Consider the following 26903-nt stretch of genomic DNA (forward strand, 5'->3'; position numbering starts at 1 on the left):
GAAATAAATAGAAAGAAACAAATACGACAAAGACAAAAACAAAAGAAAAAAAAAGAAAGAAAGAAAGAAAAGAAAAAGCTGAAACCGAGGAAAGGCCAAACCATTTTTAACAAATTTTTTAGGGCTACTGAAGCGGCATTGTTGTCTGGGGTAAATACCCAAGGTTTGTTTCCTCATGCCAAGGAAATCAAGAACGTGGACACAGGTGGAGTGAGGTTAAGAGCAGAGATTTAATAAGCAAAAGAGAGAAAGGAGAACCGCTGGATTTCTGGCCCACCTTGGAGTGCACAGAGTTTTATAGACAGGCTTGAGGATTTACATAAGGCCCAGAGTTTGCTTGGACCAGGTATAACATTTACATAGCCCACGAGGAAGCTGGCTACCCCACCCTAACCTTTTATTATGCAAATGCAGTCTGTACTTGGCTGGGCCATGTTGCCTGCTCCTTACTCGGCACGTGGTTGACAAGGTAAGGGGAAGATGGAGCCGCCATGTTGGACAAGGCTTCCCTGCAGGTAGCCTTTTCCTATTGGCACGGCGTCCTCACCCGTGCAAGCTTCCAACTTGCTTGTCTATGCCTGCAGCTTGATTTTACAGGCTGCTCTTTGTTAGAAAAGAAAATGATTTGGGGCTGCTTTTTTATTAAAAGGAAAACATTACCAAGGACTTCCTCCCTCTCACTATCTGCCTAAATAATGTCTTCTTAACTCCTGTATCACTATCATTGACATCTAAAGCATCAACCTCAAATATCTCCTCAGACACTTTAGCAAAAAAACAGTAGAATTCTCTATCCAGACAACTTGTCATTCTCAAATAAAGATGATAGGATGACTTTCAGAGATAGTAAAAGGACTCAATAACAATGTTACCAGTGTATTCTTTCAGAAAAACTCATTGAAGGCACAATTTAACCAACTAAAATTTCAAAAGTACCAGGCACAGTGGCTCATGCCTGTAATCCCAACACTTTTGGAGGCCAAGGCAGGCAGATCACCTGAGGTTGGGAGTTCGAGACCAGCCTGACCAACATGGCAAAACCCCATCTCTACTAAACATATAAAAATTAGCTGGGTGTGGGTGGTGCCTCCCAGGTACTTGGGAGGCTGAGGCAGGAGAATCACTTGAACTCGGGAGGTGGAGGTTGCAGTGAGCCGAGATCACGCCATTGCACTCCTGTCTGGGCAACAAGAGCGAAACTCCATCTCAAAAAAAAAAAAAAAATCAAAAGTAAAAACACTGTAAGTAGCAAGTTAAAACTCCATCTAAAACCATAAATACAAGCAGTGTAATAAATATTATATATTACATCTTATAATTTTTGAGACAAATGTGACAGGTTAAAAAATCATAAATTAATTTTAAAATACTGAAAAAACATTTCAAAAGTATAACTGAATTCATGTTTCATTGAGGGAACTCACCAATTATAATTTCATTTTTATCATTTCAAAATTAACAAATATAAGTTTAAAAGAATGCTTATCAGTTATGAAAGACATTATACAACTATAAGCAGAACTTCTAGCAGACAGAATGTCTTCCAAACTAACACATGCATGTGTAAAATTTCCAGAAAATATAGTGGCATAGAAAACAATGAAAATAGAAGGGAAGCATAAGAAACAAAAGCCATATATTAAAATCATTGAAATTAAACCAAATATACCTGTTCCATCTTAGAATAAAAGTCATACTAATTTACTGAAAGCAAAATATTTTAAATTGGTTCAAAACATAAATTAGAGAATATTATATATACATATATTTAAGTTAAAAACATTTAAATAGCATAAATTTCATCAATCGTAATTTCTGACCACAATGCAACAAGACAAGAAAACTATAATTAAAAAACATGGCAAAATCATAGTAGTAAGAAACTAAAGTATTATTTGCCTAATGAATACTTGGACAAAGATAAAGCCAAACTGCACAATTCGCTATTGATTGCTAGCACTTTTTTGAACAGTTACTATGGCCAGGTACTCTCCCCAGTATTACAGAGGCTACACAGTAAACCTGAGAGTTAGGGTGTAAGCCGAGGTCATAGCAGTGAAGAGCACAAGCTCTGTAGCTGAATGACCAGGGTTTGAATCTGAGTCCACCACCTGTCAGTTGCCTTGGACAAGTTACTTGTCTCTCCTAGCTTCAGTTTTTCCTTATCTGAAACACAGGGATAATAGTAGTATTAGCATGATAATACACCATTAAAAGTGAGTTATGAGCAATATATGACTTGATACATACATCAGAGGCATTCAAACCAAAGCGACACCATCTTGAATAGGGGCTGGGTAAAATAAGGCTGAGACCTACTGGGCTGCATTCCCAGGAGGTTAAGGCATTCTTAGTCATAACATGAGATAGGAGGTCTGTGCAAGACACAGGTCACAAAGACCTTGCTGATAAAACAGCAGGTGGCAAAGAAGCTGGCCAAATCCCACCAAAACCAAAATGGCAAGGAAAGTCACCTCTGGTCAAGCTCACTTCTCATTACATGCTAATTATAATCCATTAGCATGCTAAAGGACAGTTCCACCAGCTCCATGACAGTTTACAGATGCCATGGCAATGAAAGGAAGTTACCCTATATGGTATAAAAGGGGAAGGAACCTGCAGTTCTGGGAATTGCCCAGCCCTTTCCCAGAAAACTCATGAGTAATCCACCCCTAGTTTAGCATATAATCAAGAAGTAAACATAAAAATAGCCAGCCAGCAGCCCTCAGGGCTGTTCTGCCCATGGAGTAGTAGCCATTCTTTTATTCCTTTATTTTCTTAATAAACTTGCTTTCACTTTAAGGATTTGTCTTGAATTCTTTCTTGTGCAAGATCCAAGAAACCTCTTTTGGGGTCTGGATCAGGACCCCTTCTGGTAACACACATGAAGGGCTTAATAGAGTGCCCGACTCATAGAGAGTGCCCAATAAATAGTAAATATTATTGTTATTATCTCACGTTACTAACTCTTTAAACCTGACTATGGGCACATAGCCAAACTTAAGAGATGTGTATTTTATATCTTGTACCGATTAAACCCTTTATCTTGTTTCGAAGGTGTCTTAGCAATAATAATATAAGATTTTAGCATATGCAATTGTCTTAGCAATAATAATATAAGATTTTAGGATATGCAATTGTCTTTGAGGACATAAATTTAGTTTCTAATTGGAGGAAATTGGAAAACTGCGAGCACAATCAGAGTAAAAATAAGTCTACCTTGCTAATGAGTTTTCCCCAGCTCATGGTTAGTAATCAGTAGGTCTTTGCTGACTGATGTACTAATTTACAATCTAGTTAGGGACATCAGGTTGACACTTGAAAAACATATTAACTATAAAAGGAAGAAAATAAATACCATAGAAGAAACAGAATTTGGCTAAAGGAATCTCAGAATGGAATTCATAGTGTTCATAGACCGAATGGAAATTTGTACTTGAAATGATATTTAATGATACCTATAATATGTAATTAAATATAAAATTATGTAATGGAAATTATAGAAGATTAGATATTCCAAAGGGAAGGAGCTTAGTGATGCCTGGAAGAATCAGAAGGCTGAATGGAGGATTCTTTTTTTAATACTGAGGATTTGGATAGGTAAAGATTCAAAACAAACAAACAAACAACTATTAAAACGACAACAAAAAAAGAGAGACATCAGTAGCAGCACTGAAGTAGAAATCAAAAATGCGTAGAACTGATTGAATGGTTCTAATTTTGGGACACTGAAGACAATTCCCCAAAATATGGTGCTTTGGCATGCTGAGTGCTTTGAAAATTGAAAGGCCACAAAAGTAAGCTTCAGTATCAAACTTTTTCCCTCTGACCTTCCCCTGCCTCCCTGTCTCTCTGATTCTCTTTCCTGAAACACTGGAAGGGACGTAGAGAAAGTTCTTGTCTGACTAAGAAAGCTTCTTCCCAAAAGAAATGCAATTGTCTTAAGACCCTCTCCCTAGGGATCTCATCAAACAACCGGGAAAGATCAGCCACAGAGAAAAGACTGGCAGTAATTGCCATGCCCAGACAGACTTTTCATCTATTCTCCCAAGGCCAGCTCTGAGGGATTACCTGGAGGGCTTGATCTGCATAAGACAAGCTTTGTTCCAGCACTGTGCCACCCTCATTTTTCCATCCAGCTTCCAAAGAGAATCATTTACAAAATGATGTCAGCCTCCCAGGTCCATACATATCTTCCCTACGAAGAGAGTATTTAAGCCTCAACCATCTGGTCCCTCTTCAAGCCTCATACTTTCTGTATGACTTCTGTGCTTATGCATGTTAAATAAATGTTGTAGTTCTTTTTCTCTTATTAATCTGCCTTTTATCAGTTCATTTTCAGTGAACCTTCAGTGGGCAAAGAGGAAACTTTCCCTCTGTCTCTATACTAGGATGAAGTAACAACTTCTTCAAAAGGTGTGGAAACAGGTGTCTTGGTTGAGTTGCCTACACCAGCCTGTGACGTTGGCTGATACCTTTGTTCAAGATCTTCCTTGAGTTCAGGATAGAGAGAAGGCCTCTTTATCTATATGTGGATGATCAGGGTCACCAGAGCAGGTGCCTTTGTACATGCTATGATTTGGATAAGCTAAAAAGCTCTATGAGAATAAACAAGAACCTTGCCCAAAGATAAGTCTAGACATTTAAAAATATGTCTGAGGATTTTGAGATGTGCATATATGCAATTATGTATGAATTTTGTGCGTGAATATGTGGGTGTGGGCATGCATGTGCCTGTGTTCATGCTTTTAAATTTGCTTGTGTGGGCCCATGTTTGTGTGTGTGTGTGTGTGTGTGTGTGTATCTAGATTACAGGTATGTACAGGAGAGAGGCTACTGAGAGAAAATCACTATGAAGAAAAAAGCACCCAAGTGTGGGCTCAATTCAGGACAGGGCAGCCATGGAATGGTGGCTCCCAGGACAGTGCCACATTAGGATTGAAGAAGGCTCTCCTCAGGGTCTCTCTAGTGGCAAACTTAAAAATAACAATTTTCCCAGAAGGCCAAATGTTTAGGGAACATTTTCCCCCAGAGGACTCAGGGGTAAAACGAATCTGAAGACCTTAATTATTCAATGTCCCCAAGCCTCTCTTCCTAAACGTGGAATGGGGATGAGAAGGAATCACTTACAAGAGAGAGAACTGTGTGCTAAATATCAGGAGACAAGTCGCCCAAAATTCTAGGTAATGGTAGTAAAGTAAGAATAGGCAACCTAAGGTATCAAAGGTCAAACGTGGTCCCCCAAACACCTGACCTGCAAACCTAGGCAGATAGCAGCTCTAGAGAAGAAGAAATGGCTGGAGCAGAGAGTACGTGGCTCAGTATATTAGACCTTATTTGCCACATAGATGACTTCCAAAAATACTCTTTTGGGCAATGCGATCTAGAGTTTTTTGTTGATCAAACTCATCCTCAATACTTGATAGGGATGGTGGAACCCCTGCCTCCTATATCTATCGAATTAGAATCTCTAGGGGAGAGTCCAGGAAGTTCTATGTTTAATAAGCACTCCAGGTCATTCTTATCACTAGGGAAGCTTGGGCAGCAGTCATTTAAGAGACTTCTAGAAAGGAGCAGGGGTGGAAGGTGGCAATCTGTCCACTTAACATGCAGAGGCTACTGACGCAGCAGAACTGTTAAAGTGAGTGATGCTGGCTGGTGGAATGTAGAGGACATTTGGGTGACAGTTGTAAACAATTTCGAGTTGGCATGCTTTGCAGATGTCAGCCTGTATCTGTGGCATGCATTAAACAGACCACAAATCCTGGGCAAGAGGTACAGTATGCCATCAGCAAATGTATCATAAGTCTTTTTCCCCAAGAATTTTCCTGATGACAGTGGAGGAAACAAATCTAGATATTCCACTGAATCAATGTTGTCATTAACAGATTTACAATTTCATCAATGGTATAGGCACTTTAGTCAAATGAACCACGTAGGAATAAGGGTATTAAATCTCTGACAGCGTTAGAAGTTATTTATCTGTTCATCTCTCCAATGAATTTATATGTATTTTTCTATTGATAAAAAAAGAAATACCTATAGTAAAATAGACACTTTTTTTTGGAATAACTTCCAGCTTCCACTTAAACTACTGTCAACTTTTGAATGGCATTCTAAATATAAAGTAATTACAGTGTAAAATGCCTGGGGGTTGGAATAAAGTGTTCTTGCCCCTAAAGACAGTGTTTTTACACAGGGCAGAGAGAAAAAGGCTCATGGAATCTCACTGGAGAGAACCTCTATATCTTACCATCCTTGCATTATAGAAAATATGTACATTGCAAGTTGGAAGTATTTCATTCCTCTAGTATTAATTTGTATTTCCTGCCTTATATTGGTTTGGCTGAAGTTCACATAAACTGCAGTGCTTTGGCCCACCAAGACAGAAAGTCATTCACGTAAACTTTTCTTTCTTCCTGGAATTCACCCCATTTTCTTCCTTTTCTCCCTCCCCCTTCACCTTAACCCCTCTCTCAGCCCAACTCTGCCCTTCCCTTTAAAAAAAAGTTGCATTAGTTCTTTACAAGTGAGCAAGAACAGAACCAAATGTTTCACATCTGCTCTCTGAGTTCACGGATTAGCATGAGAATGAGTAGCCAGTGTTTCAATGATGCACAGTCCAGTGAATGAGAATGGGGGCTCAAGCCTGGTATCAGAGAGCTCTCTGGCTCCTGCCAGATGTCCTAGGCCCAGGGCACAAAAGCGTGAACCCAGAGTTTTAACAAATCACCTTTCTCTGAGGCTAATCACTCAAGAAAAGGTTTTGTTGTGGGTTGGAGAGGGTCAGGTTGGTACTTCTCCAATGATCTGTAGCCTTGCTCAACCTCTCTAGCCTTAGCCCTTCAAGGCTTTCTAAAGAGACCTCTTATTTCTTTCCCTCAAATCCAGGCAATGAGGGCAAAAGCTGCATGCCAGAGGATCCTGAAGGCACCGGGGCAGCGGGGGCTCATTAATCAATGGTGGCCGTGTTGCTGGTCTGTCACTCACTCTCTCTCTCTCTGAACAATAAAGACTTTAGCAAGAATAAAATAGCTCAATGGGCATGTACAAGGTCAGGCTTAGTGGCAAGATGGGTCTGGCGCAATCATAGTTGGAGGAATCCTGCACTTTTCACAGAGAAGGTTTATCAGCTGTGGGGTGGTGGTTCTAAAGGTATGGTCCCTGGACCAGCAGCATCAGCCTCACTGGGGAACTTGTCAGGAATGTAGATTCTCTGCCCCACCCTGACCTGCTGGGTCAGAAACTCTAGGGTGAGCTCAGCATCTATTATTCACATACCTTCCGGGGGTTTCTACCCCTGGAAGTTCTTCTTATTTCAAACTAAAGAGACTCTAGCCAAATGCCTCTTGGTTTTTTGGACTAATTTTATACCCAGGCCTCAGCCATACCTCTTTTAAACTCTCATCCTTGTAGGATGGGGTGACATTCTGATTTGTCCAAGACTGGGAATATCCCAGGATGCAGGGCTTTCAGTTCTAAAATTGAGAAAGTTCCGGGCAAACTGGGACAAGTTGGTCACCCTAACTGAGAAACATGGCCAGTTTAGACCCGGAACCCGTCTGCATGCCTTTCTACCTCACTGTCATTGCCCTCACTATTCTAGTGGGGTCAAGGAAGATCAAGAAAGAGAGATCAAAGAGACAAACATCAGCCAGAGATCATTTTAATAATGCAATCAATGTGAATGTATCAAAAGCCTCAAAACGAAACAAAAATAGATCAAATGAAAACAAGTGGATTTTGTATAAAGAAAGTCTCCTGAGCCAGGCGCGGTGGCTTATGCCTGGGCAGATCATGAGGTCGGGAGATTGAGACCATCCTGGCCAACATGGTGAAATCCTGTCTCTACTAAAAAAAAATACAAAAATTAGCTAGGCATGGTGACATGCACCTGTAGTCCCAGCTACTCGGGAGGCTGAGGCAGGAGAATCACTTGAACCCGGGAGGTGGAGGTTGCAGTGAGTCGAGATCGCGCCACTGCACTCCAGCCTGAGCAACAGAACGAGACTCAGTCTCAAAAAAAAGAAAGAAAGAAAGAAAGAAAGTCTCTTGTGATAAATTAGTGATTTCTGCCTTTAGAGAAAAGATCCAGAAACTTCTTCCTGGACTTCTGATGAGAGAATAGATTATTTTCTCACCTCTCTGTAATCTTATCAGCAGAAAGTCATTAGATCATTTAATTCCTCATACTACCACTGTGCGTTCTACGTATTTCACTTTTGACACAGCACTATTTTGCTCAAATTGATCTCCTCAGCTTCCCAAATTATAAAAGTGGATCCCTAGGCCAAAGGAGAGACTTGAGCATATATATAGCTTGAGGAGTTCTCCAAATTTCAGAAAGTATTCAAAAAGGGAACAGTTGCCTTTGAAAGTCAGGATCTATTGGCAAATGAGTTCTAGGGTACAGGTGAAGGGAAGGGTTAGTCTCCCTCTGGTTTGGAGGGGTGTTTATGAAAAAGGTATTTGAAGGTCCCAGCATAACTGCCCTACTTGGCTTAGAGGTTTTATATTGCAAGAAGTGATGTGATCTGGTGGCACTGCACAGTTAGAGAGGCAGTTTTTGGCCCCAAAGATAAGCAGAAAAGGTCTGATAGTGACTGTGAGGAATATGCTAAATTTTGCATAGTTTAGAATGCATTATTAAATGCCTGATTGAATTTGGGAGTGTTTTGTTTAAAATTTATAGAATAATGAGAAAGAAAATTATGGTACAGTAAAAAAGGCATAGATTTTGAAGCTTAAAAAGTTTGGTTCAAATCTTGCCCTTTTACTTAATGTATCATCTTGGGCAAGTTACTTAGCCCCATTTTACCAGAAATTGGGAATAATAACATCTATTTCAAAAGAGTTATTTGAGGTTTAAATAAGGTAATATATGCGGCATACATTGCAGAGTACGCAGTACACAGTAAGTGCTCCATAAATGTTAAGAAGCAGTGTGATACAGTAGAAAGGGTTTGCAGTATTGCTTCAAAACAGACTCAGGTTCCACTCCTAGCTCTGGCTCTTTTGAGTATATGGCTTTAGCATTTAACCTTCATCTGTGAAATTTAAACTGCATTTGTCTGTGGGAGAATGCTTTAAGGACTAAATTAGATTACATACATAAAGTGCTCAGCATTCTATTACATGTTTTCCCCCTGACCAAACCATGTTAACCACATCCTTCTTTCAACTCCCTCATGGATGCATTTGAATTTCCACCACCCTCTGCCATGTACCATTACTGTGCACATGCTGGCTTCCTCACTTCTCTCTAGTTTGCCTTTGTGTGTTTCTAACACAGCCTCTGTATGGCAATGAACTCTGAGATGAACTGAGCCTTCCCATAATATCTGGTTATTATGATGACCAAAATCAATTTAACCTCAGAGACTGGGATCTGGGAAAGGCAGGTCTATAAACACTTAAGATGTTCACGAAATTCTCTGATCACAAAGTCTAGGCAGACGGGGGTGAGGGGAGCGGAGTTTGGGCTCAAGACTCTGTTTCTGAGTGAACACTCTTCCCACCTCCATGCTTCGTCCTGCTGTTACTCACCCCACATCTGTGAGGGCTCTGGATGGAGGCTGCTGTCCTACGTGTAGAATGGGATCAGTGTTGGGCTTCACCAGACCTCTGATTTTTGTGTGTGTATGTCTGCTGTTCTTCAGGCAGCAGAGGAAGGAATCCTGGAGTTGGAGTCAGCCATTGGAGTTGCAAGGTAGGTGGAACTCTACCACTTCAAGTTGCATGAATTGGGCAAGAACAAGAATAGCCACCACTGCTACCATTCAGGAAGCCCAGGTGGTCCTCACCACAGCCTTGTGAGGCAGGAGGAAAAGTTGGATACTAAGATGTGGGATCACACTAAGATGTGACTCAGAAAGATTGAATGAACTGCTGCGTGTCACTTAGCTGGTATGTGGCACAATTAGGACTCTGAGCAAAGTCTCTGTAATTCCCTAATGTCCACATTCAAACCGTTTTACCCATCTGTTTCCCTCTCTGCAAAATGAAAGAGTTGAGTTCTGTGCTTTGAACTTTAAAAGATACAGTTGAAAGCAAACCAGGGTCTCTGGACTTAAGCCTCAGTTCAGGGTTCTGTTCCCTGTGTTTATTTGATTCCCCACTTCTAGCCTGGCTCACTCAGAGTGGTGTAAGCTGAAACACCATAATGGTAATGGTAATTAACATTTGCTGAGCATTTACTGTGTGCCAGGTACTCTTCAAAAATCACAGTATCAGACTGGGTGTGGTGGCTCATGTCTGTAGTCTCAGCTACTCAGGAGGCTGAGGTTAGAGGATCGTTTGAGCCCAGGAGTTTGAGGCTGCGGTGAGCTAGATTGCACCACTGCACTCCAGCCTGGGTGAAAGAGAGAGACTCCATCTTTAAATAAACAACAACAATAATAATAATGATAAATAATAAAAGTATTGCATCATATTGCAACAACCCTCATGTGCAGATGAGAAACAGAGCCACAGAAGTGCTAAGTTGCCTAAGGTGGCTTAGTAAATGGCAGGGCCTGGTGTAAGACCATCAAAGCAAAGCAAGCTGGAGCTTGCAGAGCATCGGATCTTAGGAAGGCACCAAAATAAGTGATGAAAGGTGAGGCCAATTGTCCGAGAATTTGTTTCTTAGTCAGCAAACTCAGCTGCTCCCAAAGGGCTGCCTGCAGCCAGTGTGATTCTGTAAGAGGAAAAAGGGAAGGGATGGGCTTAAGGGCTGATCTCTTAGCAGCAATTGCTTAACAACCATATCCCCTTGTGTTTGTAAATCATGAGTGGAAGACGATGTTTTTGGAATAATCCTAGCAGTGATATTTGTTGATGAGCCACTGGCTGCACCTCCTGTTTAGGATGATTCTATGAGCATGAAGTATCTTTGGCTTGCTAATGCCATTTCCATTCCAGAATATACCAAACAGTGTCAGGAGGGAGACAAAGACAGGCTCATTCCTCAAGTGTTTTTGTTGCAGCATCACAAGCAGATGGCAGCATGAGCCCTGCTGTAGTTGGGACAAATTGAACGTATCAAGCACCAGCTCATCAGAGACTCCCTTCGTGCTGTAAATCAGGGCATAAAGCAGCTTGAGGCCCCGGTAAACTGAACAAGAAGCAGCCCATCACTGATCTCATTGCCCACAAGCACAGGGCCAAGAGGAAGTGGAACAAAAGGCAGGCCCTTTGCAGAATGGAGCCATGAAGAGCAGCCCAAACCGGCTTCCAGAGGCCGTTGGACACTAAATCTTGAATCGGGATTCAAGTGCTATTTAGCATGGGTGAACTGGGATTTGAAGCAGAATTAATTGCCTCCAAATTGTATCTTTCCTTCCAGCCATCCATTAGTTTTCTTTGGCAGAAGGATAATGATACTTCATGAAATATAGCTGCAGAATCTAGCCTTGTTCATCGCAACCCTAGAATGAGCTCAAAAAAGCGAAAACTTTCAAATAATATAGTTTCCCCAGGGTGAGAATGAATATACATATTAGGTCACTATTAGTGTCTCTTAAAACAAAAATGCATGCGTTTGTTTTCAAATGATGGGATTTCAGAAACTTTCAAATAAAATGCTATAAGAGCATGTGTTGTGTTTTAAATTGTAGTAAGAAGAGTCTGATTCTGGTATTTGTTTTTGTTGAAGTTGTACCTGCGTTGTATCACTTTCTTGGTGAATGTCATAACTCTAGGACAGGGAACTGGGGACAATCAAAGCTGAGACAGTGCCGTTACACAGTCCCTATGTAAGAGACTTCCAGTCGCTTCAGAAAATCATTAGAGACAGTTATGGATAAGACATAGATTCAAGTAGATGCTGAGAGTTACATCCATGAAGCCACTGCCTCCCTTAGAGGAAGAATTATGCCAAAATAATTTTAAATCCCTTTGAGGCCATTTAACGTACAGAATGAGTAGCAGGAAGATGTCAATGAGGTTTTTAATGCCTGACTGGCAGCCAAATAGAAGCCAGAATGCTCCAGGATCAGTGAAGTCAATGTGCAGTTTATGGAGGAGCTGAAAAGATCTAACTTGCAGTATGCATGTGTGTATTAGTTAGCTCAGGCTGCCATAACAAAATATCATAGACTGAGGGGCTTAAACAACAGAAATTTATTTTTTCACAGTTCTGGAGGTTAGGAAGTCCAAGATCAAGGTGTCAGTGTGGTTGGTTTTCAGTGAGGGCTCTCTGGCTTGCAGATGGCTGCCTTCTTGCTTTGTGCTCACGTGGCCTTTCACCAGGGCATGCACACAGAAAGTGACTTCTCAGACATCTCCTGTCACAGGGGCACTAATCCTATCAGACCTAATTACTCATTTTTTTTTTTTTTTTTTGAGACAGAGTCTCACTCTGTCACCCAGGCTGGAGTGCAGTGGCATGATCTCAGCTAACTGCAACCTCTAACTCCCGGGCTCAAGTGATCCTTCCACCTCAGCCTCCCCAGTAGCTGAGACCACAGGTGTGTGCCACCATGCTCAGCTTATTTTTTAATTCTGGGTAGGGACAGGGTTTCACTATGTTGCTCAGGCTGGTCTCAAACTCCTGAGTTCAAGTGATTCACCCGCCTTGGCCTCCCAAATTGTTGGGATTGTAGGCATAAGTCACCATGCTCAGTCTATCAGACCTCATGGAACCTTACTTACCTTCTTATAGGATCTATCTCCAAATACGGTCACATTTAGGGGTTAAAGCTTCAACACATGAATTTTGGGGCTTATAATTCAGTCCATAGCACAATATATATAAAACTTAGAATGTATATATATGTTAGAATTTTAAAAAATTCAGTGCATATTTTGGCTATAAGCAGAAAATAATATTACCTAATTTATGCTATTGCTTAAGTCAGGGCCCCTAAGTCAAAAGCCCACAGAGGGAAGAGAGGTGATGTCCATGAATGAAGCAATGAATGAAAGAAAGCAAGCCAGTCCAACTCAAGTGCATCGTTGTCGAGATGCAAATCTATTATTATCACATAGATCGATTCTTCTTCTCCTCTTTAAGAGATCAATTCTCTTTTTCAAAAAAAAATCTAGACATTCTGCTTATTTTTTATGTGAAACTTTAGCAAAATTTTGGCTTGTTAAACATATAAATGGATGACCCCATCTGTGTTCCTTATCCACCCCACAGGCTTCCAATGTGAAACATCCAGTTTAAATAAATGCTTTTGCCTTAAGGAAGGATGAAGCAAGTGCTTTTACAGTTACTGGTACACATGGAATTTCAGTTACCTGTGTCTGAAGTAAGTGGGAACAGAATACACAAGTGTGAGCTAACATGGATTGCCTGGAAGGAATCAAAGCCCTCTTCAAAATTGGTCGTAACCATACAAGCCCTTACGTGAAGACAATGTTACCCAAAACCAATATTTTTTTATTACTCTCCCTTTTCCACAGCTCCCCTTCAAGTTTATGATGTTTTTAGTTTCCTGCTGATTGCCTCTTGGTAATTCAACAGAGAGACATAGTAAGAACTGCAGAACTCTTTTGTTTATATGTTGAATCAACAGTGAAGAAATCTAACAGCTGACACTCATGTGGGTTCTCTAAAAATAGACCTGGGGTTTTCTAGGAGGATTTGAAATGTGGGAAAGGTCTGTGAACCGGAAGGCAGGAGTCCTGGGGTCACATTGTGGCCCTGTCATTAAGTTGGTGTGTGACCCGGGAAGTCCCGTCTGCTTCCTTTGCCGTGATGTGACTTTGGTTGGGCCATGTCTAAGGCTTTTCCAAGTTCTCATCATCTTGCATATTGACTGTTCTTGTTGGTTTTTAGTGAGGGCTCTTTGTTTGGATGAGCACAGAGGTTGAACTTGGGTAGTAAGCAAATTCAGCTTTATTTTTATATATGTCTGCTGTGTGTGAGGCACTGAGCTTGCCATTGAACTAAATGTGTAGATGAGTAAGACACAGTTATTGCCCTCAAAGAGCCTATAATCTAGCAGATAAAATTGTACTGAGATACTATTTTTAGGTATTATCTCATATTTTCACAATTTCTTCTGTATTTTCTCTTTTTTCTTCTTCCGGCTGAAGTAAATAACTGGCTCTGCCTTCACAGCTACTAAAGAAGGATTTAATAGAATATTCTAGAAAAAATCTATAAAAACATCTTTATGATCTTGGAAAGGCAGAGATTCCTTAAACAGGATACCAAAAAAAGCCATAAAAAATATACTGATAAATTTTGAACTTCATGAAAATTAAGTACTTCTATTCATGAAAATATACTATTAAGAGAGTAAAGGCAAGCCATTGTCTGGAAACAAAATATCTGCAATACAAATAACCAACTAAGGACTTATATCCATAATGCATGAGCAACTCCTACAAATAAATAGTTTTAAAAAAGAAAAAAATTCAGTTGCACAGTGAGCAGGAGATTTGAATATGCACTTCACAAAAGAAAGTATCCAAAAGATATCCAAATTATATGTTTTATATACATATATAAAAATGTGCCCTTCATGATCATCAGGGAAATGCAAATTAAAGCCACATTGTGATATTATACACCAGAATGTATAAAATTGAAAAAAACTGAAAATACAAAGTGTTGATGAGGGTGCATGGTAATTACAACTCCTATACCGTGGGGATGGAAGGGAAAATTGGTACAACCACTCTGGAAAGATGTTCGGTAATATTTTCTCCAGCTCCGCAGATGCCTAACCTATGATTCCAAAATGCTGCTTGTGGAATTCTACTTCATCACAAATGAATGGCTATGTCTACCAAATGACATCCACAGAATGGATCATAGCAATTTTGTTAGCCAAAAACTGGAAATAATCCACCGGATAAATAACGTATAGTTTACTCAAATAATGGTAAATTGAACAGCACTAAAAAAGAAGCAACTAATGGCAGCAAAATGAATGCATCTCACATTCAAACTATTGAGTGTAAAAAAGCGAACAGACACAAAAGAGTTCATACTGTATCATTCTATATAAATAATGTTCAAGTATAAGCAAAATAATATAGGGTGATAAAAGTCAGAATAGTGGCTACCTTTGAGAGGGTTTGACTGGGAGGACCACCAGCCAGCTCTCTGGTGTGCTGTAATTGCACTATAATGAACTGGATGATGTAGCCAGGGGTGTCCAATCTTTTGGCTTCCCTGGGCCACATTGGAAGAAGAATTAGGCCACACACAAAATACACTAACACTATGGGAGGCCTATGTGAGCAGATCACGAGGTCAGGAGTTCAAGAACAACCTGGCCAGCATGGTGAAACCCTGTCTCTACCGAAAAAAAAAAAAAAAATACAAAAATTAGCTGGGCATGATGGCGCTTGCCTGTAGTCCCAGCTACTCGGGGGGCTGAGGCAGGAGAATTGCTTGAACTCAGGAGGTGGAAGTTGCAGTGAGCCAAGATTGTGCCACTGCACTCCAGCCTGGGTGACAAAGGGAGACTCCGTCTCAAAAAAAATACAAAAACAACAATGACAACAAAAAAACACACACTAACACTAACAATAACTGATGAGCTTAAAAACAAAAAGGTACATGCATAAATCTTATAATGTTTTAAGAAAGTTTATGAATTTGTGTTAGGCCTCATTCAAAGCCATCCTGGGCTGCATGCAGCCCAGGGACCACAGTTTGGATATGCTTGGCATAGTTGCTAAAAATGTATTGAGTGATACAGTTAACATTTGTGCGCTTTATCTAGCCAGGCTCTCTAGCTTTTGTTTTTGAAACACGTATGCAGTGGTTTGTAACACACATTGGGATTTTTCAAGGACAATTTTTAAAAATTACTGTTTGTTGGACAGGCGCGGTGGCTCATGCCTGTAATCCCAGCACTTTGGGAGGCCAAGGCAGATGGATCTCGAGGTCAGGAAATCGAGGCTATCCTGGCTAACACGGTGAAACCCCGTCTCTACTAAAAATACAAAAAAATTAGCCAGGCGTGGTGGCGGGCGCCTGTAGTCCCAGCTACTCGGGAGGCTGCGGCAGGAGAATGGTGTGAACCTGGGAGGCGGAGCTTGCAGTGAGCCGAGATCGCACCACCGCACTCCAGCCTGGGAGACAGAAAAAGACTCCGTCTCAAAAAAAAAAAAAAAAAAAAAAATTAGTTTGTTGGAACTTGTTCCAGATCAAGTAAATCAGAGAAAGACTGGGGAAGCTCACGTTTGTGATGCGGGAGAATTACTGTTGAAATAGAATAGAATATAAAAAGGATAATACAGTTATGCGTCTCTTAATGATGGGGATGCGTTCTGAGAAATGCGTTGTTAGGTCATTGTGTGTACCTTATAGAGTGCATTTACACAAACCCAGATGGCACAGTCTACAGCACACCTAGGTTATATAGAAAGGCCTATTTTTGCTCCTAGACTACAAATCTGTACAGCATGTTACTGCAGTGAATACTGGAGGCAATTGTAACACAATGGTAAGTATTTGTGTGTCTAAACGTAGAAAAGGTAGCATGAAAATACAGTATTGTAATCTCACCGGCCCCCCATCCCGGAAGTAGTCATTGTTGACTGAAACATCCTTAAGTAGCACGTGACTGTATATAAAATAGAATACACACACATACACGCACACATACTTTCTCTCTCTCTCTCCCCCACCCCCGTCCCCCCCTCTCTCTCTCTCTTCTCAGGTAGTTCTAATTCGCAGCCAGCATTGAAAACCAATGCCTCAGGGGAATTTCGGGTAGTTATGAGTGAGATAAATAATTCATGCACACTGGACAATTACCTTGGTTAACAACAGTAGAAAATGTGGGCCTTCCATCTACACCCTGCAATAACCTAAAAAAGGGTTCCCCTGGGTAGGAGGAGAAGAGCAGTAGTGGACAGCTCAGGTGAGACTTCAGAGAGGAAGCAGGTGGGGGCTGCTCCAGGAGTGCTTTGTGATCTGTGAGAAGTGACCCAGGCTTTGGACATTTACATTCTTGTGTATTTCCCTCCCACACCAAATCAGAGATGCTCCATGTGACCAATAGGGTAGGGCTGCCGGGACGGTGGGACTTCCAAGATTAATCATAAAGGGCATTGCAGCTTCCACCCGGGCTCTCTTGAAATGGCTGTCTCTGTGGCAAACTAGTGGCTGTGCCTTGAAGATGCTCAATAGTCCTGTGGACGAACTCAGATGCAGAGGAGCCAAGGCTTCCTCATCCATAGCACCCCATCCACGTTCTCCTCTGTACTGTGCTCTGTCAGCTTTCCATGGGCCTCACTGTGCCCCTTGGCACACCTGGAGGTATGTGCAAAGAGCAATGATGAGTGGACCCGGGGCTCCATGACTTACAGTTATCACAATGCAGATCACAGAGAACTGTCAGAAAGAAGAATGGTGCAAATCAGCTTATCACCTTCTATCATTTTTTACTACCCATTTGGCATGATTTATGTTTTGGACAGCTCTTAAGATGACACTCGAGAGATTTGGTCCAGATAAGTGATGCAGAAACTGCAAAAAGGAAAGGATTTTTCCCAAAAAGAACCAGGATTTCAAGATCAATCTATGAAACCTGATCACTTTATTTTTAAAATGATCCCTTATTTCTAAAAAAGAATTCACATTTTCTGCATGTGAAAAACCTATTTTCTTATGCTCTGTTCAGAAAAAATGCACATAGAAATATATATATAAATATTAGTATATGTTAATAATACATGTGCTAAAAATAGTGCTTAATATACTTAGACTTAAGGTCTTTCTGAGGCAGGCATAGTTTTCTGAATCATTATATTAACTATTGACTATCCTTAAATTGTAAATTATTATTTATTAAAATGCCATCTAATAACAAATGAGCTATGAAAATGTAAGAAGCTTTTAAAGTACTACTGTACAGGCATTCCATGGAAACCTCTTCTCCATGATTTATGTTTACATGATCCCATTGTCTAAAATGTGAACAATGAAAGTTTTTTCTTTAAATCTCTATTGCATAAATGAAATAACTCTCACAATATTTTCATTGAATTGATAATGTCATTTGCAGGCCAAATGCACATAATATACAAAATTTACTGAGTTACATAAAAAAGAATGCATTTAGAGTTATTTAAAGCATGTTTTCATACGTGGACTATCACTTTTATTGTTCCAAGCTGATAAACAAATTTTAAGAATTTACAAGTCGTACTTTAGTTATTCAAAACACAGCACACAGAGAAATTTGTGCAATAAATGCTTCTATGGTCCCTAGTGAAATATAATAAACTAAAATTTTCTTAGCAAAGAACATTTTAAAAGACAACTTCAGAGAAGTTTTATTTTGTAAAACAGGAAGGAAAAGCAGTGAAGATAGTGAGTGTACATAACAATAAAGATTGCACTGCAGGATTTATTCTCATCAATATTTGAGGCTTATTCCATGCAATGGAAATAAACTTGTCTCTTTAATTCATTCAGATTTTACCTAACGGCCAGAAGAAGGCAAAGAGGTAAGATATCTAGGAATCAGGCACTGAATGTAATCAATGTTTTAAAAGTATTTCGTGAAAATATGTGTAACCTAAGATTTACTATTTACCCTTTTAAATCTACAATTTAGTGGCATTAAGTACACTCGTGTACTTAAAATCACCACCATCCATCTCGAGAACTTTTCATCATTCCAAACTGAAAATTTATACTCCTCAAACAATAACTCTCCATTCTCTCTTCTCCCTAGCCCCTGGTGATCTTGTTTCTACTTTCTGTCTCTATGAAACTGACTACTCTAGGTACCTTGTGTAAGTGGAATCATATAGTATTTGTCTTTTTCTGATTGGCTTATTTCACTTACCATGATGTCCTCAAGGTTCACCCATGTGTCAGAATTTCCTTCTTTTCTTAGGTTGAATAATAATTCCATTGTATAGATTTACCTCACTTTGATATCCATTCATCTGTTGATGAACACGTGGGTTGCTTCTACCTTTTGGCTATTGTGAATCATGCTGCTATGGACATCAGTGCACAAATATTTAATCAATATTTAAACTCTTGTTACGGCCTGTAAACAGAACACCATCAGATTATGTTTGTGATCAGGTTTTCCTAGTGACATTAGGATATATGGGTTAATAAATCACGTCAATGCTGGAAAATATGACTGAGACTCAGAATAGTTAAGAATTCTAAGACACCAGATACTTTAAGGTAGAAACTAAGCCTGAAGAAAGAAATGCTGCCTGATAGAGTTTGGATGTTTGTCCCCTCCAAGTCTGATGTTGAAATGTGATTCCCAGTGTTGGAGGTGGGTGCCTGGTGGGAAGTGATTGGATCATGGGGGCAAACCCCTCATGAATGGTTTAGCACCATCCTCATGGTGATAAGTGAGCTCTCACTCAATTAGTTTGTGATATCTAGTTGTTTAAAAGTTTGGGACCTCCCCCTTCTCCCTCCCTTGCTCCCACTCTCACCATGTGACATGCTGGCTCCCTGTCACCTTCTGTGATGATTGGAAGCTTCCTGAGGCCTCACCAGAATCAGAGGCTGGCACCATGCTTCCTGTACAGGCTGCAGAACTGCGAGCCAAAATGAAATATCTTTTCTTTATAAATTACTCAGCTTCAGGTATTTCTTTATAGCAACATGAAACTGACTTAATACACTGCTCAAGTTTGAATATCTATGAAGCAACGAGGTGCTATGCCTTTTGCAAATAATTACAATCTCACCCACCCATTTGCAGCCAAAACAGGGTAATAGACATTATGAGAAAGGTGTGTGAAATATGTCCTAGGGGCATGTAAAAGGATGCCTTGCCTAGACTTGGGCTGTGGGGGTGGGGACACAGAGGGAAGGGGGTCGTCTGGGAGGGGTGGCAGAAGTCAGACAATGCCTGAGTTGGGCATAAGAGCCATATGAAAATTGGAAGGGAGATAAGTTGCTGTAGGCAGACAAAAGATGTGAGCTAAGAGGGAGGTGCGATAAAACATTGGCATCCTGGGCTGGACAACATTAAGATGTAGTCTGAAACTATCCTTAGAAGCCTTGGGTTTCTCATTGTCTTAGGAAATGAGAAGAAGAGAAAAGAAAGAGATGCCAGTTTTCTTTCCTCTCCCCATAGCCATAACTGAGACCAGCTTTTCCAAAATAGTTTTCAATGACAAAGAGTCCTGTGGTTCAAATAAACATGAAGGCTGCTGGTATAAGTCAATGCATGCTAAAGGTTCTACCATCTCACTATGTATATAAGTATATGTATATTTGTGTGTTTTATATACTCTCTCTTTATATGTATATTTTATTTCTACATATTCATATACTTATATCTATTTTATTTAACGGTTAAACCTGCAGACTTCTTTGCATGGGGGAAGCTTTCTCTTTCTCTATTCTCCACTAACATTTTTGCTCAACTCACAACATTTTTCCCTTACTACTAGCTTGAAAGACACTGGGCCTGAGGGTACATTAGTGAGTAAAACGAACAAATCCCTACCCTCAGGGAAGGGATCCCTACCTTCATTTTCAAATCCCTACCCTCATTTTAGTGGGGAACAGACATTCAAAATTAAAATATTTAGCATGTTAGTGATAAGTGCTAAAGAGCAAAAAACAAAGTGAGAAAGGAGGCTAGATGTGTTAAGTGGGGTTAACATTTTAGAAGGGGTGGTTAGGAAGACCCCACTGAGAAGGTAACTTTTGAGTAAAGACTTGAGGAAGGAAATCCTGCAGCTATCTGGGGAAGTACTTTCCAGGTAGATGAAACAGCAAGTGCAAAGGCCCTGAGGCAGAGCCATGCCTACTTTTTTCCAGGAATCTCCAACAGGTCAATGGCTGAGGCAGAATGAGCCCACTGCAGGGTAGCAGGATATGAGGTGGAAGGGGCAGGTTGTATAAAATCTTCTGGCTTCTTTTTAATTCTTTTAAACATTTACCCAAATAACGCTTGCATTTTAATTGTTTTCATTATAAACAAGTGTCCTAACTGTGTTTTCTTAGATTCTGTACTTGTCTATTTGGCATCCATTAACCACAGGTCCAAATAATGGCCAAAGTTGCCTGCATCTCTTCTGCATGGTCTTGCTGCATCTCTTGGCATGCTCTTGCTCTGAAATGTGATTTTGCTAGTCTTTATGAAAGTTCCTAAGTTCAATGTTCTTCGGTCAAATACGTTATGTGCCATTTGATAATCAGTTGGGAACCTGGAGCCTCCTATGTAACCCTCTGAAAAAGTTGGTTTAGAACTTGTGGTCAGACTCAATGCCTAAAAGAAACCTCTAAGCCTTTTAAGTTTTATATTTACAGATATTGACATTCTAAGATCCTCTGGCAGTCCAGGTGATACAGAAATTCATAGCAAAGACAAGTGAAATGAAGCATGCATGTGAATAAGAGGAAAAGTTGAGCAAAATGGTGAGCTTGGAATAGATCTTTCAGGATACACAAAACCTCCTAAGGAAAACCTGTACATTATAAGGAATATTTAACACTCTGGAACCTAGCTTCCAGTGAACATAGCCCAATAAATGACCCACAATTTGACCATTTAGGTTCATACTTCCTTTTCTTGAGGAGGATGAACATAACAGTTTCCATATTATCCAGTGACCCAGAATGCCTAGGAAGTGATAGATGGTGAGGTTAATTATTTAACCCAAGTTTTAGTAATTTCGCTTTTAGAAGTGTGAAGTAAGGTAATATTCAGAGAGGTGAATAAACTTTTATGTGAAAGAAATTGATTTCACTCTTATTTATGATAGCATAATTTCAAAACAACCCAAGAGAAATTATGGAAATATCTACATTGAAAGATGAATAATATATAATGATATAAGAAAATACCCAAAAGGCAATTTTAACTGATAAAAGCAAGATATAAAATATATGTTTGTAAAATAAACCCAATTTTAATTCAAAATACATGGTATTTATATATACAAAGATACAAGGCACACAGGAGAGTAAGGAGGAAATACAGCAATGGATTAATAGTAGTAATTACTGGATAGAAATTTCATAAACAGTGTTCAGGGTAACTAGAGCCACTAGAAAATAAGGGGAACATCTGGAAATGAGAGAGTCCTAGAGAGAATACCCAGGATTATGTGTATAAACTCCAAACTTGGTCTTACCCCTTAACCATGTGTATGTAGTGTAGACTCCAAGAAGCCCAGCTAAGGCTAAAAGGACTAACATTTCAGCTGCTGCTTCTCACAGGGGAGACAGAATTTTCAGCTTGAATTTAGCCAAGTTAATTGCCCAATTGAAAAAAACATTGTCTGGGTGTGGTGGCTCACGCCTGTAATCCCAGCACTTTGGGAGGCAGAGGCGGGCAGATCACGAGGTCAGGAGATCGAGACCAGCCTGGCTAACACGGTGAAACCCTGTCTCTACTAAAAATACAAAAAATTAGCCAGGCGTGGTGGTGGCCTCTGTAGTCCCAGCTACTCAGGGGGCTGAGGCAGGAGAATGGCGTGAACCCAGGTGGCAGAGGTTGCAGTGAGCCGAGATTGTGCCACTGCACTGCACTCCAGCCTGGGGGACAGAGCAAGACTCCATCTCAAAAAAAAAAAAAAAAAAGGAAAAAACACAAAAACACGAGGAACCTATTAGAAGCCAGAGTTCCTACAACACATCATTAACAATGTCCAGCACACAATCCAAAATTACTGACAATATGAATAAACAAGAAAATGCCACCTATTCTCAAAAGAAAAGGGAATCAGCAGAAATTGACTTTAAGAGGACTCAGATGTCATGGCTATCAGACAATAAGTTTAAAGCCACAATTTTACCTATGCTCAAAGACAGAAAGAAAAATATGCCCACAATAAATTTAAAAAATAGGAAATCTCACAAAGTATACAAAAAATCAAATGGAAATTCTAGAATTGAAAATTTTAATATCCAAATTAAAATTTACTGGATAGGGTTAATATTAGAATGGACATTCAGAAGATTGAATGAACTTAAGGATAAATCAATAGAAATTATCCAACCTGACAAAAAGAAAGAAAAAAAAATTGGAAGAAAAAGTAAAAAGTCCCTTACCATACACTCATTTCATCATCAGCAATATGAATTCAATTTTCTAAAGGTAACTGTGGGCCAGGTGCGGTGGCTCACGCCTGTAATCCCAGCATTATGGGAGGCCGAGGTGGGTGGATCACGAGGTCAGGAGTTCAAGACCAGCCTGACCAAGATGGTGAAACCCCATCTCTACTAAAAATACAAAAATTAGCTGGGCATGGTGGTGGGTGCCTGTAGTCCCAGCTACTCGGGAGGCTGAGGCAGGAGAATCGCTTGAACTCGGAAGGCAGAGGTGGCAGTGAGCCGAGATCATACCACTGCACTCCAGCCTGGGTGACAGACCGAGACTCTGATTGAAAAAATAAAATAAAATAAAGGTAACTGTGAAGAAAAAACTGAAATAATACAAAATATATTCCGTTCATCTATATGAAATATGTGCACAACATACTTGTAATTGGAATCAAACTATCATTGAGTAATCACATTTTCCACATAGTAATTTAAAATTCTGTAAGTGCTTGATAGTAATTTATAGTTGAAATAATAGTGCTATTTATTTAAAATATTCCTATTTAGACAGTTTCCAATTCTTTGCTCTTAAAGCGATAAGCAGTCAACATTCTCCTGCATATATCTTTGTGCACATGTATTTCTCTTAGACATTTAGAATGGAATTCTTCAAGGTGTAAATCTTTTTAACTTTTCTAACTGATTTATAATATATCCAGAAAAGTGCTCAAAATATAAATGGACATCTCAGTGAAAATTCATGTAAATATTATCCAGATTCACTTTTGCTGTTTGTGTTTTTATAATTTTTAGAACCAACTTGTTAAAGTTCAGCACAATGTCTGTTGGTATTCTGATAGAAAGTACATTGAATATATAGGTTAATGAGAAAGAACTGAAATCTTAATAATATTCATTTTTTCAATATATACATACATATAGATGTATGTATAAGAATATATATATAAGAATATATATTTACAAATATATATAAGAATATATATATACAAATATATATAATAATATATATATAAGAATATATATATATCCTTCAGGGCTTTTTAGTTGATTTTTAGACTTAAGGCTGAATCAAAAATATTTCACAGTGTAACCTTTTAAATTGAGATATAATTTATCTGCAAACAAATTGCACAGACTAAAGTGTGTAATGTGATGACTTTACATCCAAGTGTAACTACCAAGTAACCACCACCCCCATTAAGATACAGAACATCTCTATCAACCTGAGACTTTCCTTTGTTTCCTTTCAAGCCACCACTCCCTCTCCACCACCACCAAATGTAACCATGATTTATATTGCTATTACCATAGCTTAGTTTTGCCAGAAGTAGGACTTCATATAAGTGAATTACACAGTACGTATCATTTAGTGTCTGGCATTTTTCACTCAACATAATTACTCTTTAGATTCATTCATGTTGCTGATTGCATCAATAGTTCATTTTCTCCTATTGCTGGGTACTTGATGTACATTTTTCTGTTGTACATTTGGCTCATTTCATTTTGGCAATTATGAATAATGCTGTTAATATTGTTACACAAATCTTTTTGTAGATGTAGTTATTTATTTATTCATTACTTAAAGTTATTTCCTAGGGTAATAGGGTCAAAGAGAAGGTATAAGACTAACTGTATAAGAACTTGTTTAGTAAATTTCCCAAGTAGTTACATCATTTTATACCTCCTACAAGCAATAAATGAGAGTTCTGTTGCTTCTTGTTCTCACCAACACTTGCTGTTGTCAAATATTTTTATTTCCGTTATTTGCATGGGAATGTGGTGACAGCCTGCCTTCCTGAAGACTGGATAGGTTGAGCAGCTTTTTACATGTTTATAGACATGTGTTTATTGTACACTTTCTTTTTATAGTGTCTAAGTCTTTGTTCATTTTTATTTTTAAACTTTTTAAATTGCAGGCATTCAGGATACAGTTCTTTGTGAGATATATGTATTGATAATATTTTCTCGCAGTTTGTGGCTTGATTGTTTAATAATTTCATGGTCCTTTCTGTTAAGCGGAAATTTTAAATTTCTACAAAATCCAATTCAGTATTTTTTCCCTTATTGTTAGTGCTTTTTCTTTGCTGGCTATTAAATATTTCCTTACCCCAATGTTGTAAATATTCCTTTATATTTTCTTCATGCAGGTTTATGATTCGACCTCTTATTTTAGCTCTATTGCCCATCTTGAATAAATTTTTGTGTATCAGGTGAAGTGAGAATCAAGGCTTACTTTCTTCCACGTAACTATTCAGTTCCTGCACAGTATGTTGAGAAAACTTTTCCCATTAAGTTGCCTTATTGGTCTTGTCAAACATCAATGACCATGTCCGTAGGAGTTTACTTCTGGAAGCCACATTCTTTTCATTGATATATTTATCTAGACTCACTGAAATATCACACTGTCATCACAACTATACTTTTGTATAGTAGAAATGATTTTATTAAAGCTAAAATTTTAGACAATTCAGCAAATATGGAAGCATGCCCAATGAGTTAAAGTTGGAATTCCACAACGCTTTCTGATAAAACTACTTTGTTTTTCCTGACGTTCTGTGACGTACTTCATATTCTTCCATAGAGTGTTTTTAAAAATAAAAGTTGTATATATTTAACATGTACAGTGTGTTTTGATGTATATATTCATATTGAAATGATGACTGCATTGAAACAAATTAACATGTCCATCTCCTCATGTAGCTATCTTTTTTTTCCCTTTTTGTTTTTTTTTTTTGCTGAGAGCACTTGGAATCTACTCTCTTCACAAATTTCCAGTATATATTATGGAGTTATTAAGTGTAGTCACACCAGGTGTTAGAGTTCTAGGCTTAAAGACTCTTAAGTACCATCAGGACAAAATTCCATGATGATCTGGTCACCTGTTTCATTTCCAATGCTTTGCACAGTGTCTACAATATAATAAAAGCTTAATATTAGTTGAATAAACAATTGAAATGAACTTGGAAGAGGGGTATTGGCTATCCTCTCCTCCACATTCAGTATTTCCATAAGTCTAGGCAACTGCACTATATCTCAATACACAAGACTTACATGTCAAATAATTTCATGGGTTACTATCATAGTCATAGAAATTCTGAGGATGTCACAGCAGCTCTCTCCCCAGGTCACATCACTTTTTTGACTCCTGGTTTCTCTTGTAAAAGCAGTTTCCTTCCATGTGTCAATGCAGTTATAACCACTTTGAGACTTTTCTTTATGTTAACTTATTTGTATTTTCATGTACTTTTTATATTAATTTTTAATATTTATGTATACACTACTATACAATATACTAGATATACAGTAAATGATTATGCATTCTATTTTAATTATCTAGATCCAGAATGTGGGTAAAACTGAGCACTATAATGAGAGTTTAGTAATCTGGCCTCTAGTTTTGTGTCTGCCAGTAACTTACTTTCTGAGGGAGTCTTATCTGGGCCTCAGTTCACTCATTTACAAACTTTGCGAATTTGAACTGGAACCAGATGCCCTGTGGCAGTCTCAGAATTCTCTCCAGAACTCTGCTGGCTGGAGGATGCATACTAGGAGAAAGACATCTCAGGATGAGATTGTGCTCTATTATATGTCACGTTTGCTTTGCACTGAGAGGCCTATTGTTAATACTGCCAATACCTACAGCATCTCAGACACAGCGAGAAGCAGCAATCACTTCCTTCTGAAGGACAGAGACCACATGTATCAAAATCCCTGTCTCTGGACCATCTGGCTGCTGATTGTATGATACTAACATCCACACTCAATTAAACTGGGCTCCCCTTAGGAAAACAAAGATCCAAAAGAGGCAATGTCAAAAGAATTGATATAATCCAAATCCTGATGCTACAGAGAGCAGCTGGTTGGGGAAGTTGAAGAAGGAAAAGACACAGGGGTGTACTTGTGATGTGGGCTGTCGATTTCACAAATAGTGAGAAGTTTTCTG

The 26903-nt window shown here is 39.2% G+C and overlaps 3 annotated features.

The window, feature by feature from the left end:
- Positions 3727-4244: an enhancer, noted in NCBI's record as "NANOG hESC enhancer chr17:13543773-13544290 (GRCh37/hg19 assembly coordinates)". NCBI's record gives its function as "activates a minimal SCP1, AML or CMV promoter by ChIP-STARR-seq in naive H9 embryonic stem cells {active_cell/tissue: H9 hESC(naive)}" and the evidence as "EXISTENCE:reporter gene assay evidence [ECO:0000049][PMID:30033119]".
- Positions 5803-6604: an enhancer, noted in NCBI's record as "OCT4-NANOG-H3K27ac-H3K4me1 hESC enhancer chr17:13545849-13546650 (GRCh37/hg19 assembly coordinates)". NCBI's record gives its function as "activates a minimal SCP1, AML or CMV promoter by ChIP-STARR-seq in naive and primed H9 embryonic stem cells {active_cell/tissue: H9 hESC(naive and primed)}" and the evidence as "EXISTENCE:reporter gene assay evidence [ECO:0000049][PMID:30033119]".
- Positions 6605-7406: an enhancer, noted in NCBI's record as "OCT4-NANOG-H3K27ac-H3K4me1 hESC enhancer chr17:13546651-13547452 (GRCh37/hg19 assembly coordinates)". NCBI's record gives its function as "activates a minimal SCP1, AML or CMV promoter by ChIP-STARR-seq in primed H9 embryonic stem cells {active_cell/tissue: H9 hESC(primed)}" and the evidence as "EXISTENCE:reporter gene assay evidence [ECO:0000049][PMID:30033119]".

The sequence above is a fragment of the Homo sapiens genome, chromosome 17 (assembly GCF_000001405.40).
Source record: "Homo sapiens chromosome 17, GRCh38.p14 Primary Assembly".
Lineage (NCBI taxonomy): Eukaryota > Metazoa > Chordata > Mammalia > Primates > Hominidae > Homo > Homo sapiens.